Source organism: Homo sapiens, chromosome 10 (genome assembly GCF_000001405.40).
Source record: "Homo sapiens chromosome 10, GRCh38.p14 Primary Assembly".
Lineage (NCBI taxonomy): Eukaryota > Metazoa > Chordata > Mammalia > Primates > Hominidae > Homo > Homo sapiens.
In genome coordinates, this window is record NC_000010.11 from 24,230,796 (window position 1) to 24,243,488 (window position 12,693).

General features: G+C 40.9%; 1 protein-coding gene across 30 annotated transcripts in view, besides 1 other annotated feature; it reads left to right on the forward strand.

The window, feature by feature from the left end:
* The window catches only part of KIAA1217, an 853,117-nt gene that overhangs the window by 536,069 nt on the left and 304,355 nt on the right, over positions 1-12,693 (forward strand). For 9 of the 30 annotated variants that reach the window (XM_017016420.2, XM_047425520.1, XM_047425502.1 and 6 more), the window contains exon 1: positions 8,398-8,542. The exons of the other annotated variants lie outside the window; for them this stretch is intronic. The gene's annotated coding sequence lies outside the window, so the exon portion shown is untranslated. Of the gene's footprint in view, positions 1-8,397; positions 8,543-12,693 lie in introns of those variants that run through there. 30 annotated transcript variants of the gene reach the window in all.
* Positions 6,953-7,478: an enhancer, noted in NCBI's record as "H3K27ac hESC enhancer chr10:24526677-24527202 (GRCh37/hg19 assembly coordinates)". NCBI's record gives its function as "activates a minimal SCP1, AML or CMV promoter by ChIP-STARR-seq in primed H9 embryonic stem cells {active_cell/tissue: H9 hESC(primed)}" and the evidence as "EXISTENCE:reporter gene assay evidence [ECO:0000049][PMID:30033119]".

Consider the following 12,693-nt stretch of genomic DNA (forward strand, 5'->3'; position numbering starts at 1 on the left):
GCTGGGATTACAGGTGTGGGGTAGGCACTACTATTAACTATAGTTAACAGAATGGGAAACTGAGGCACAAAGCAGTTCAGGCTTGTCTGAGGAGACACAGCAAGTAAGTGGCAGCACCAGTATTTAAATCCAGTTATCTTCCTGTGGGAGCCTTGCTCTTAAATTCTAGATCAGACCACCTCTCTGATGGGGGATGAAACAGAAAGATGTTCTGAAATGCTAAGGAAAAGAAAGACTGGACTGGGGACCAGTCTGCCTCGTGTCAGTAAGTGTGAATGAGATTTAACGCTCATCCTGCAATGGATGAAGTGCCAGCGTCCTGGTTGGATTTGCCTTTAATAATTTGAAGAAGAAAAGGAGTTTGGCACTGAAGAAGCAGTAGTGTGCCTGCCTGTAGTCCCAGCTACTTGGGAGGCTGAGCTGGGGGGATCATCCATGCCCAGAGGTCAAGGCTGCTGTGAGCTGAGCAGTGATCGTACCACTGCACTCCAGCCTGGGTAACGGAGTGCGACTCTGTCTCAAAAATAAATAAGTAAATAATAAAGAAGCAGTTGCATACATAGTGGTGAGTACGCAGAAAGTGAAAACTGAGAAAAAACCATTTTCAGAGCAAGCACTGCACGTGAAAGGAGTATGGTGTCATAACAGAATCACAAGTCATAGCTGGAGAATTTACAATATTGTATGTGCGAGTGTATATTTAATGGAATACTGGAGGCCCGTGAGCAAAGAATATGATAGGATCGAATCAGTAGAAAAACATCTCTTGTCCTCAGAGAAATTCCAGATAATGTTAGATATGTCTAAGGAAAATCAGGATGTGGTCAATGATCAGGAACAATAGTCATTTACATTTGGATATGATGAAAAACAAAAGTAAAAAAGAAAAAAAATGAACAGAAAGAAGAGCCTAAGATCTAAGAGAGATGATGTTCCTCAAGGGATGAGATGAAGGAGCTAGCTTGGATGTGATACCTGGAGGACTGATTTATTTTTCACTCTTGGGTTTTTTTTTTTTTTTGAGATGGAGTCCGGCTCTCTCACCCAGGCTGGAGTGCAGTGGCATGATCTCGGCTCACTGCAACCTCCACCTCCGGGGTTCAGCCTTCTGCCTCAGCCTCCCATATAGCTGGGACTACAGGCATGTGCCACCACGCCTGAGTAATCTTTGTATTCTTAGTAGAGATGGGGTTTCACCACGTTGGCCAGGGTGGTCTCAAACTCCTGACCTCAAGCAAATTCACCTGCCCTGGATTCCCAAAGTGTTGGGATTACAGGCGTGAGCCACTGCACGTGGCCGAGGACTGACACTTTGAGTTGTGACTCAAAGGTCGTTGAAGTACATCTCAGAAGATTTGGACCATTACATAGTAGGACATCTTGCGGCAGAGACTGAACAATTGAAAAGACTAAATTCAGGGGTTGTAGTTTTACTTGCAAAATTGACGTACAGTTGACGTTAATCACCCAGAATGCAGAAAAACAGCAAAGGAATCCTAAATGGGGATCATTCATAACACATCGCTTTTGATCCATGTTTAATTGGGTGCCACCAACCTCAGCATTAGCTTTCATTTTAATTAGTGACATGGAAGAGCAAGAGAACATATCTTGAGAACAGTGCTATATTAAGGAAAGCTCTGCAAGAAATCAAAATAAGATTCTACTAGAAAACCTGCTAAGGAGTGCCCGGGGGTAGGTGGGGAAGTATGGAAAGGCAAGAACCGAAGTCTAGCTAGGCAGTGTCAGGAGACACCTGGAAAGTGGTAGTCAGCTAGAGGAAATTGCCACAAAATTAGATGGAAATTTTCAGTGTTGAGGGATCTAAAAAAGACCAATGTGATTCAGTCCAGTGCATAGATGCAGAACTCATACTGCAAATGTCCAAATTGTCCTTCCTGTCTTTTCTTGTCAAACTTGAGCCTTTGCCATTTATTCATTCTTCCTGCAGTTATGTTCTTGGATTAATTCATTCAAATGCTTATTTATTTATTAGGGATCTACATTTCGAGGTTGGCATTGAACATTATATAAAAAGTACAAGGCCGGGCACAGTGGCTCATTAATCCCAGCACTTTGGGAGGCTGAGGCAGGTGGATTGCCAGAGCTCAGGAGCAACATGGTAAAACCTTATCTCTACAAAAAAAAAAAAAAAAAAAAAAAAAAAGAATAAAGAAAAATTAGCCAGGCATAGTGGTGTACACCTACAGTCCCAGATACTTAGGAGGCTGAGATGGGAGGATCATTTGAGCCTGGGAAGTCAAGGCTGCAGTGAGTCATGATCATTCCACCATACTCCAGCCTGGGTGACAAAGCAAGACCCTGTCTCAATAAAATAAAGAAATAAAAATAAAAAGTACAAAACCCAACATCTGCCCTCTCTTAGTCCATTTGTGATGCTTCCACTCATGACCAAAAGGGGAGCCTCTGTTTGCAGAGATCACATTGTCTGAGAGGATGCAAGAGTGTTGAAGAGGTGCCAGGCTCTTTTTAACAACCAGTTCTCATGGGAACTAATAAAGTGAGAACTCATTCACCCCTAAGGGAGAGCATTCATCCCATTCATGAGGGATCCACCAGCCTCCATAACTCAAACACCTCCCATTAGGCCCCTTCAACTTTGGGGATCAAATTTCAACATGAGATTTGGAGGGGACAAATATCCAAACCATAGCATGCACTGCCAAAGAGATATCTCTTTAGTGGAAACAGTACAAACCTTTGGGTATGATTTGAGTATGGGATGATCCAGGAATATTTAATTTAGTATTGAATTTGCAAGTAGTTGAGGCTATCATTACTCATTTATAATTTTGTTAGATGTGATCAGAGAGTGCAATCTCTAAAATTCTTACTTTTAAATTTCGCTTAAAGATTGGTTTACAAAGTTTTTCTTAGAATAAAATACACAATCAGTATTGCATAGATATTCATGGACATTTATCTATTCTGTATTCTATGCACATACATACGCACACATATATATTGGGTTTGTTGATTGTATTATTCATTTCTTCTCAGTCTTTATTTTTTAAGGTTGTTCACTTCTGAGCAAAGTATAACAAAGTCTCCCATATCATTGTATTTTTATCTTTTTCTCCCTGCGTTCCTAAGAATTTGTTTCACAGGTTTTTAGTTATGATCACACCTTCTCTATAAGTTATGTCTTTAACATTACCAGATGACCTCTTCATTCTGTTTAGTGTCTGTTAACTTTTTAAAAATATTATCTCTCTTGATTTACATTTGTTTGCATCTGTCAGGTATGCCTTATCATTCATTTTCAATGTTTTTGTATTAATACAGGTTGAGTATCCCTAATCTGAAAATCCAAAATGAAATGTTCCCAAATCTGAAACTTTTTGAGCACCAACATGATGCTCAAAGGTCATGCTCATGGAAGCATTTCAGATTTTGGATTTTTGGATTAGGGATGCTCAACTGGTAGCTATGTACTGCAAATATTCTAAAATCCAAAAAAAAAAAAAAATCTGAAACCTGAAACACCTCTGGTCCCAAGCATTTTGGATAACAGTTACTCAACCTGTAATGAGCGTGTTTATTAGAAACTACATACATATATATCGGCCGGGTGCGGTGGCTCATGCCTGTAATCCCAACACTTTGGGAGGCTAAGGCAGGCGGATCACCTGAGGTCAGGAGTTCGAGACCAGCCTGGCCAATATGGTGAAACCCTGTCTCTACTAAAAATGCAAAAGTTAGCTGGGTGTGGTGACGCATGCATATAGTCCCAGCTACTCAGAGCTGAGGCAGAATTGCTTGAACCCAGGAGGCAGAGGTTGCAGTGAGCCGAGATCATGCCGCTGCACTCCAGCCTGGGTGACAGAGCAAAACTGTCTCAAAAAAAAAAAAAAAAAAAAAAAGAAACTACATACAAAAAACTTGGCTTTGCTTTTTCAGCCTAATTCGTTAAGTCTGTTTTTAATGGGAAATTCCGTCCACTAGCATTTAGTGTAACAACTGATGGACTTAATTATATTCCTCCATCTTAATTTGACAGCAAGTACTGTATGTCTATTCTTCTTCTCTCTTAAATGTGGCTCATGCTATTTAAATGCGAAACAATGGCTTGAGTTTAGGTCTTGACAAGCTGTATCTGAAATGACAGTGGTTGCTCCAAGTGAAAATGACTGTTAGACAATTGGAGATAAAATAGGACTGGACCCTATGCCAGGAAACAAGACTAGACAGATACATGTTGGAGGGATCAGCTCTATTAGTCACAGTTCTTCAGAATATCAGAGCCAATAGCAGAATTCCTTTTTCTTTGGGGGACCTCAGTCTTTGCTTCTAAGGTCTTCAACTGATTAAATGAGGTCTACTCACATTATGGTGGGCCATCTGCCTTACTCCAAGTCTACTGATTTAAATGCTAATCACACCTAAAAAATACCTTTACAGCAACATCTACACTGGTGTTTGACCGAACAACTGGGCACCATAACCTGGCCAAGTTGAAACATGAAATTAACCATCCCCCTCTGCACCAACAGTTGACAGAATGTGAATGGATAATTTCTAAAAACAAGTAACAACTACAATCAAACACAGAGCCAAAGATCAAGGGTTTAGCATTAGAGAATTACCACAGTTGGGGTCCATGTTTCATTAAAGAATCCAAGCATTCTTATCTTTTGGTGATACTTGTAGTGTGGTCTTGACTTACGAAATGTATATGTGTTGTTTTCTACCTTTTTCATGTTTGACAGTTTTTCTTTAGACCAGAACTTCGGATTGCAGCTATTTCTTAAGAGTTGCTATTTCATTAGCCTTATCAACATCCTAGAGATCTGTTTGCCCTGGGGTTTTGAGGGCTAAGCCCTGAGTTGTAATGCATTAACTCTGTTCTGTGCAGTCCTTCTAGGACTAAATACAGCCTGCAGCTAAATACATACTGCTTCTCCAAGGCTGCTGCTGTGCTGATGTTTCTGTCTGAACTACCCCAGACTCCAGTACCGTCTGTTAACTCCGTATCTCGGAGGATCTGCAGAAGGTCCGCGTTGACCCTTTGCAATCCAGTATGCACTTTCAGGCTCATCTACTAAATAAATCCTTTCAGCATGGCTTCGTTTAGTTAGGCTCTTAGTATCCCAATTATGAGCAATTTTATTAAACTAGGAGTATCAGTGCCTGGTAGTTAAGTACAGGTGTTTTGGGTTTAAATCTCGGGTCAGCCTGAGTTCAAATCTCAGCTCCAACACTTAATAGCCATGTAAACTTACTGTAATTACCTAACCTCTCTAAAGCTCAATTTCTCCATTTGTAAAATGGGAATAATGATTGTTCTTACATCATACTATTGCTGTGAGGCTTAAATGAGATAAGGGTTGGTTATTTGAATGATAAAAAAATTGATATTTTGCTTGAAAGAAAGTATTCCTTTTCTACCTGACAACTTCCAATTCATATTTCTTTTCTCTTTTCTTTTCCATTCTTTTTCTTTTTCTTTTTTTCGACGGCGTTTTGCTCTTGTTGCCCAGGCTGGAGTGCAATGGGCAGTCTCGGCTCACTGGAATCTCCGCCTCCCAGATTCAAGCAATTGTCCTGCCTCAGCCTCCCAAGTAGTTGGGAATAAAGGCATGTGCCACCACACTCAGCTAATTTTTTTGTATTTAGTAGGTTTCACCATGTTGGGCAGGCTGGTCTCAAACTCCTGGCCTCAGGTGATCCACCCTACTCAGCCTCCCAAAGTGCTTGGATTATAGGCGTGAGCCACTGCGCTAGGCTCATGTTTCTTAAGAAACAAAAATTCAGGCCATAAATAGTTAAGTCTAACCTCTTTCCCCAGCTGTTTGTGTTCTTTTATCTTTGTGAGCTTTTTCAGTGAGGAGTTTTTTTTTTTGTTTTTTTTTTGAGGCATGTTCTTACTCAGTTGCCCAAGCTGGAATTCAGGGGTGCAAACATAGCTCACTGCAGCCTCAACCTTCTGGGCTCAGGCGTTCCTCTCACCTCAACCTCCCAAGTAGCTGGGACTAGAGGCACACACCAGCACGCCGGGCTAATTTTTGCACTGTTTGTAGAGACGGGGTATTGCTATGTTGCCCAAGCTGGTCTCAAACTCCTGGGCTCAAAAGATCCTGCTACCTCAGCCTCCCAAAGTGCTAGGATTACAGGCATGAGCCACTGCTCCTGGCCCGTTTTCTACCTCTGCTATAAAACAGGTTTGTTGAAGCGAATTCAAGACAGAGAGTCTTATTTGCTCTCCAAGTCAATCATAGGTACCCATGATGTTGCTAAATTTAGAAAAAATAGCTCATCTACATGCATTTATTGAGCTCTGATTTGATTAGTATGATGCTAAGGTTGCCATCAGGCAAATCACAATGTCATTAAGGCTTAGTGAGATGTTTTTCTCATTCAGGGATGGTAGGAAAAATCGTCACTGGACTGGCCACCTCTAATCAACTCTTGGCATTTCTGCCCAGCCTTCGTGTGTTGTCCTTATTGCTGGGATCCTTGTTGCCAAACACTTTCCCAGCTCTAAGTTGTTCAAGATCTCTCTGTCTTGATCATAATAATGTCAATGCTGGTTACAAATTTTTCTCTTGGGTTTACCTCTGCCTGTCCACTGAGGAAACGGTTAATGGAGTTGCTTTCCCATCTGAATTCTTTCTGGACTCTCTCCATTTGCCTTTACATTCTGACTCTTCTCGCTCTCTTTTCCAAGCCTGAATTCAATAAGCAAAAGCTGAGATACTGTAATTTCCTAAATAACCCAAAGGGAAGATCTGGCATAATTTATAACCACTCTGACTGCTGAATCAACTTGCACTTGCTCTTCTCTCTAATGGAACTTTGAAGAATAACTGTAATTGAATAGTGCCTCCACCCCATCTTCAGATTTGACTGAATCAAGCCTAGATCTGGTTATATCTGGTTTTTGTTTGTTTCATGTTGTGTTTGTGCCCCACTGAGTATAAAGCCCAAGTGTGGGCTTCATCTGGATGTATTTTCATCTCACAGAGACATTAATTGAATCTCTGACAATAGTCTTGCCTCCGAGGAGTGCTCCAACTCTGGCTGCGGTATTAAACCAAGGTAGTTCTTGGTTGCCTTCAAAGGTAACCTCCCATCTGTTGACAGTGAACTACGGCAATGCAACGCTTACAGAATCATTGGAGGAGAGGATCCAAAGCGTTTACAATTCCCTGCTATGCAAAGAGTCATTCTGAGTTTTTTTAACCTATGATTGCTCTCTGTAAATACCTGGGTGCACCCAGCAAGGTGTAGAGGTTAATGTTTGCTCTCTGACCTTTGAAGACAGATGCACTGAATATGTTGCAGTTTGCAATGGGATCCGTGGCAAGTTAACAGCAGACTGCTCCTTCAGCTACTGCTGTTTCCAAAACTCTGCAGTGTCACATCTTGCTCGCGGCTGCCTCCTCAGAAGTGCTTCTCAGCTTCCATTCAGCTCCCTGCTGAGTTCCTCTGAAGAACTTTGTACTGTGGCATATGACAGCGACCTGATAACATTATGATAAACTCCTATGGGTTTGAACTCAGTCCTATTCAAATTTTCTGGTGCCTAGTGGTCAGCAGTCTTAGACCTGGGGAGTAAGAGGTGTGTCTGCAGTGAATTTAGAGGTGAGAAGAAAGAGGGCTGGACTCAGATATTGAGTATCTTAGAGCCTACGGACCATTTCCCAAAGCCTAGAATAGATTTCAGCGTAATTCTGGTAATTTACATAAACTAGGATAGACATGCAAAATATCTGGATATGTTAGGAAGGAGTTAAAAAGTTCTCCACACCTTTTCCTACCACCTCTGCAGCCATAGAAGCCGAGGGGAAATGCACACACACACACACATACACACTCTGGCAGGGAACCTGTTTTGCAAGTTTTGCTGGTAAAAAGTTCTAGGAAGGGGGCTGGTGGAGAACAGAGTGGAAAAGAAGTATCAATTGAAGGTTTTTCAAGACCTGAGTTTTCAAGGTAACTTTATCCTGCAGAGAGAGACACGCATGGCCGCTGTAGGTTTTTCTTCCACCAATTAAGTGCATTGTTAGACAGGGAGGGGCAGATTAACGAACGCCTATAATTTTGATCATTGTTTTTTGCAAAACAGCTCAGGCTTTGAAAATGAAGCCATCGTTCCCGGCTAAGTTTCTGCCAACAGCACAAATTATACTGTGCAGAGATCCAAAGCCCCTAAGAAGGTTTCATTAATGAACAATTTCAGACGATTGTTTAAGTCTTCGCCTGACAGGTAATGTTGGCATGTCGGCAGGTGGGGTTAGGGTTTCCATGGAGATTTATGATGTCATGCTTGAAAGAGCATGTCAAGACAGCCGATTTAACAAGTAGCTACTCAAAAAGTCCTATAGGCTACAAGTAGGTTTTATGCAAATGACGAGAGTTTCACTGGGAAAAACTGCAAAAGAAAACAGCCCAGACATGGAGGGGGGTTTTACCTGACAGCTCCGAAGGAAGACCCTGGAGTCCGTTCCAGACAAAAACTTCCAGAAGAATTAGATTTTCTGCTTTAACTGCCGCCTCACCTGTGGAGCTCTGGGTACAGGTAAATATGCGGGGTTTTTTTCTTCCAAGTTTTTGCCAAAAATTATTTGGAAACATTTCGCTCTGTTTCTCGGCATTGTTCTCTTGGCAGGAAGAAGTGAATCAATAAGCCCAGCTTTCCCATAGCAATGTTCGTGCTAAAGGGCTGTTTTTAAGGGCTTTTTTTTTTTTTTTTATTGAATGAACTGAGATTTTTGAATAGAGCTGAAAACAAGCGATGCATTGTGCGTTCTGCTGATTGTGCCCGGTGAATACTGCTATAAAAGTGCCACAGATAAGGGTTAGATGGACAATCTGAAAATTGAGATGCTCCATGTATTTCTTATTTATTCCCAGATGTGTGTGTGTGTGTGTGTGTGTTTGTGTGTGTGTGTGTGTGTGTTCTTTTACTCTTACGACAAACCTGAAATTGAGACTATGGGTAGTTTTGTATTTTCACATTGTAAAAATGCCAAAAATAAAATCCATGGAATGTTGCAGAAATAATCTTTGAATCAGGTTTATGAACATTGCACTTTTTTAAAAGTATGTATCTGATGCTTTTCTCACCGAGGCATTTTTCCCAGACTAGAAAAAAACAGTCCTGATAGAGACATCCAGTTTTTGAGCTTTTAGGGAAGCAGGATTTCTAAATTCCAAGAAGATAGATAAAGACTTCTTGGAGGAAGGTGGGGTGTGGGTGATAAAGGTAGTTTTTAAAGCATGGTTTAAAAGAAAATACTGGTCACTTGGGAGTATGAGGGTTTTTTTTGTTTGCTTCGGCTGCCAGTGAGGATAAGTAAACAGTCTTGCCAGCCATTTGGATGTGATAGCAATCACTGGATGCGGCTGTGGATCTGTGAGTTAGCTGAAAGGGGTTAGTTCAGAGGCATCAGTTGCCCTGTGAGTAGTTAGTTCCACCAAGCTTAAAAAGAACACAAAGAAAGCCTATTGTTTCTTCCACACAGTGCATGGCAGCGTGTGAGGTTAAAGCGGAGTTCAGAATCATCGAAAGATACCTGTGAAATGGGAATTTGGACTTTTGAAACTAAAACTACTTAGGAATAAGTGGATAGGCTTTCAAAATGTTTTAAGAACTGCCTCATGTGTGAGAATGAGACCTCCTGAAATTTTGCAGTTAGATAATGTGGATTAATGCCAGAACTCACATTCATATTAAATTGTTACCACAGTTATTGCAAAACAGTGAGTGACAAAGAACTGTGCCTCCAACATCGGAAGTTCTGGGCGTTGAGTTCTGGCTTCACCACTTAGTGGCTGTATAACTAGAGGAAAGTAAATTCATGTCCTTAGGCCTCAGTCATCATGTCCATAAAATGGGATGCCAGTAGCTAGCTGTGTTGTGAGGATTAAATAACAAAACAGACGTAGCACAGTTCTAAGCATTCATGTTCCAAATGTTAATGATTGTTTTTATTGACTGCTGAAATGGCATTGGATATTTAGAAAGTGTTTTTATATTCTTTACTTCCTCTTATCATTACAAGTAATGACTAGCAGTCAAGTAAGGCTAGTAGTCTTTTTTTTTTTAAAAAAAAAAGACAGGGTCTCACTCTGCCACCTAGGCTGAAGTGCAGTGGCGCGATCTTGGCTCACTGCAACCTCTGCCTCCCGGCTAAAGCAATCCTCCCACCTCAGCCTCCTGACTACTGGTGCATGCCACTGTGCCAGGCTAATTTTTTGTATTTTTGGTAGAGATGGGGTTTCACCATGATGCCCAGGCTGGTCTCAAACTCCTGGGCTCAAGTGATCTACCCACCTTGGCCTCCCGAAATGCTGGGATTACAGGCTTGAGCCACTGCACCCGGCCTTGGCTAGCAGTCTATTTCCACTTTACAGATGCAGAAACTGTGGCTCAGAGAGTTACTGGGAAATACGACATAATAAACTATCCTATACTGCCTGCACTTTTTCTCATTTTAGGAGGCATAGAAAAAAAATGAATGTGTTATTGAAATAACTCCCAGCAGCAGCAATGATTCTGTAAAGTAATTAAAATACAAAATGTTAAGTATGCCAAAGGAGCCAGGGTATTTATATTTTTATATTAATTATGCTTTTGCCACTTTTTTCTAGACAGGCTACAGAAGTGATATTAATTTACTTTTTACTGGTACCTACTGATAGGAGCTCCAGTACTGCACAGACTTAAAATTTTAAATTCTACCTGCCTGAAATTTTTCTTGGCCATACAAGTAGAGTCGGATTTTAATGTTACAGGTATTTTCGGAGTGAGAACCCAAGTCACCAAGGGGCTGTGGTTGCTACAGGGTGCAGAAGGAGCCTAGGAGTCGAATATACTGTCCTTTATTCCTTCTGTATTCTAGACGTTGGCACTTCCTCCCTTGCCTCTATCCCAGACAGAAACACAGCCCATAATTATATCCTACATCCATTGTATGTAAGAGACAAATATGTTTTTCATTGTGCTATTTTTAGCCACAGTGTTTCTAGCTGGGGAAAACACTCTCTTCATTCCAGGGTTTTCTTAACAATTTTTCCAGTTTTTCCATGTCAGACTATTCAGAATTATTCAGGTTCCACACTCCTGGGAGAAGGCTCTTAATGAAGTATTGAGTAGGCTCATCGAGGGGGATTCTAGAGGGATTTTGGCATCTGAGCTGCTGAGCCTGAACTCATTCTATGACAGATGATGTCTGTGGTCCCATGAATTAGGCTGCATTGAGGACTCTCATTCCCAGCACTGTTTGGGGGCACTGGGAAAAGGTTGAGTTACCTTATCCCAAGGGTAGATCTATAAGGAGAAAAGCAAATATTTATTTATTTGTTTTAAATTTCTGCTTTTATTTTTAGATATAGGAGGTACATGTATAGGATTGTTGCATGGGTATACTGGATCCAGATAATGAGCATAGTACCCAATAGGTAGTTTTTTAACCCACATCCCACCTCCATCCCCACTCTAGTAGTCCCCAGTGTATTTTGTTCCCATGTTTACATCCATGTGTGCTCCATGTTTAGCCCCCACTTGTAAGTGAGAACATGTGGTATTGGGTTTTCTATTTCTGCATTAATTTGCTAGGAAAATGGTATTCAGCTCCATCCATGTTGCTGCCAAAGAAATGATTTCATTCTTTTTTATGGCTTTATAGAATTCCATGGTGAACATGTACCACATTTTCTTTATCCAGTCCACCATTGACGGACACCTAGGTTGATTCCATGTCTTTGTGGATAGCACGGTGATGAACATAGAAGTGCATGTGTCTTCTCGGTATAATGATCTATATTCCCTTGGGTATATACCCAATAATGGCATTACTGAGTCAAATGGTAGTTCTGTTTTAAGCTCTTTGAGAAATCTCCACACTGCCTTCCACGGTGGCTGAACTAATTTCACTCCCACCAGCAATGTATAAGCACTCCCTTTCCTCCACAGCCTCACCAGCATGTTATTTTTTGACTTTTTAATAACAACCATTCTGACCGGTGTGAGATGGTATCTCATTGTGGTTTTGATTTGCATATCTCTGATGATTAGTGACGTGGAGCATTTTTTCATATGTTTGTTGGCTTCTTGTATGTCTTCTTTTCAGAATTGTCTGTTTATGTCTTTTGTCCACTTTTTAATGGGGTTGTTTTTTGCTTGTTGATTTAAGTTCTTTACATATTCTGGACATTAGACCTTTGTTGGATGCATTCTTTGTGAATATTTTCTCCCATTCTGTAGGTTGTTTGCTCTGTTGATGGTTTCTTTTGGTGTACAGAAGCTCTTCAGTTTAATTAGGTCCCACTTGACAATTTTTTTATTGTTGCAATTGAAAGCAAATATTTATTTCATTCAAAGTTTTAGTTTCAAATATGAATCACAAAGCTGCAATTTTAGGGTAGAAAAGAGTTTTGAACTCAAACATGGTGCCAAAACTCCAAATAGGTTTTGAGTCACTGATGAAATGTTTCTTAAATTTTATTTTATTTTCTTTTAGATTCAGGGGGTACATGTGCATGTTTGTTTCATGGGTACATTGCCTACTGGTGGGGACTGGGCTTCTAGTGCACCCATTATTCAACTAGTGAACATCATAACCCATAGGTAATTTTTCAACCCTCACCCCCTTCCCACCCTCCCTCCTTTTGCAGTCCCCAGGGTCCATTATTTCCATCTTTATGTTCATATATACCAATTGTTTA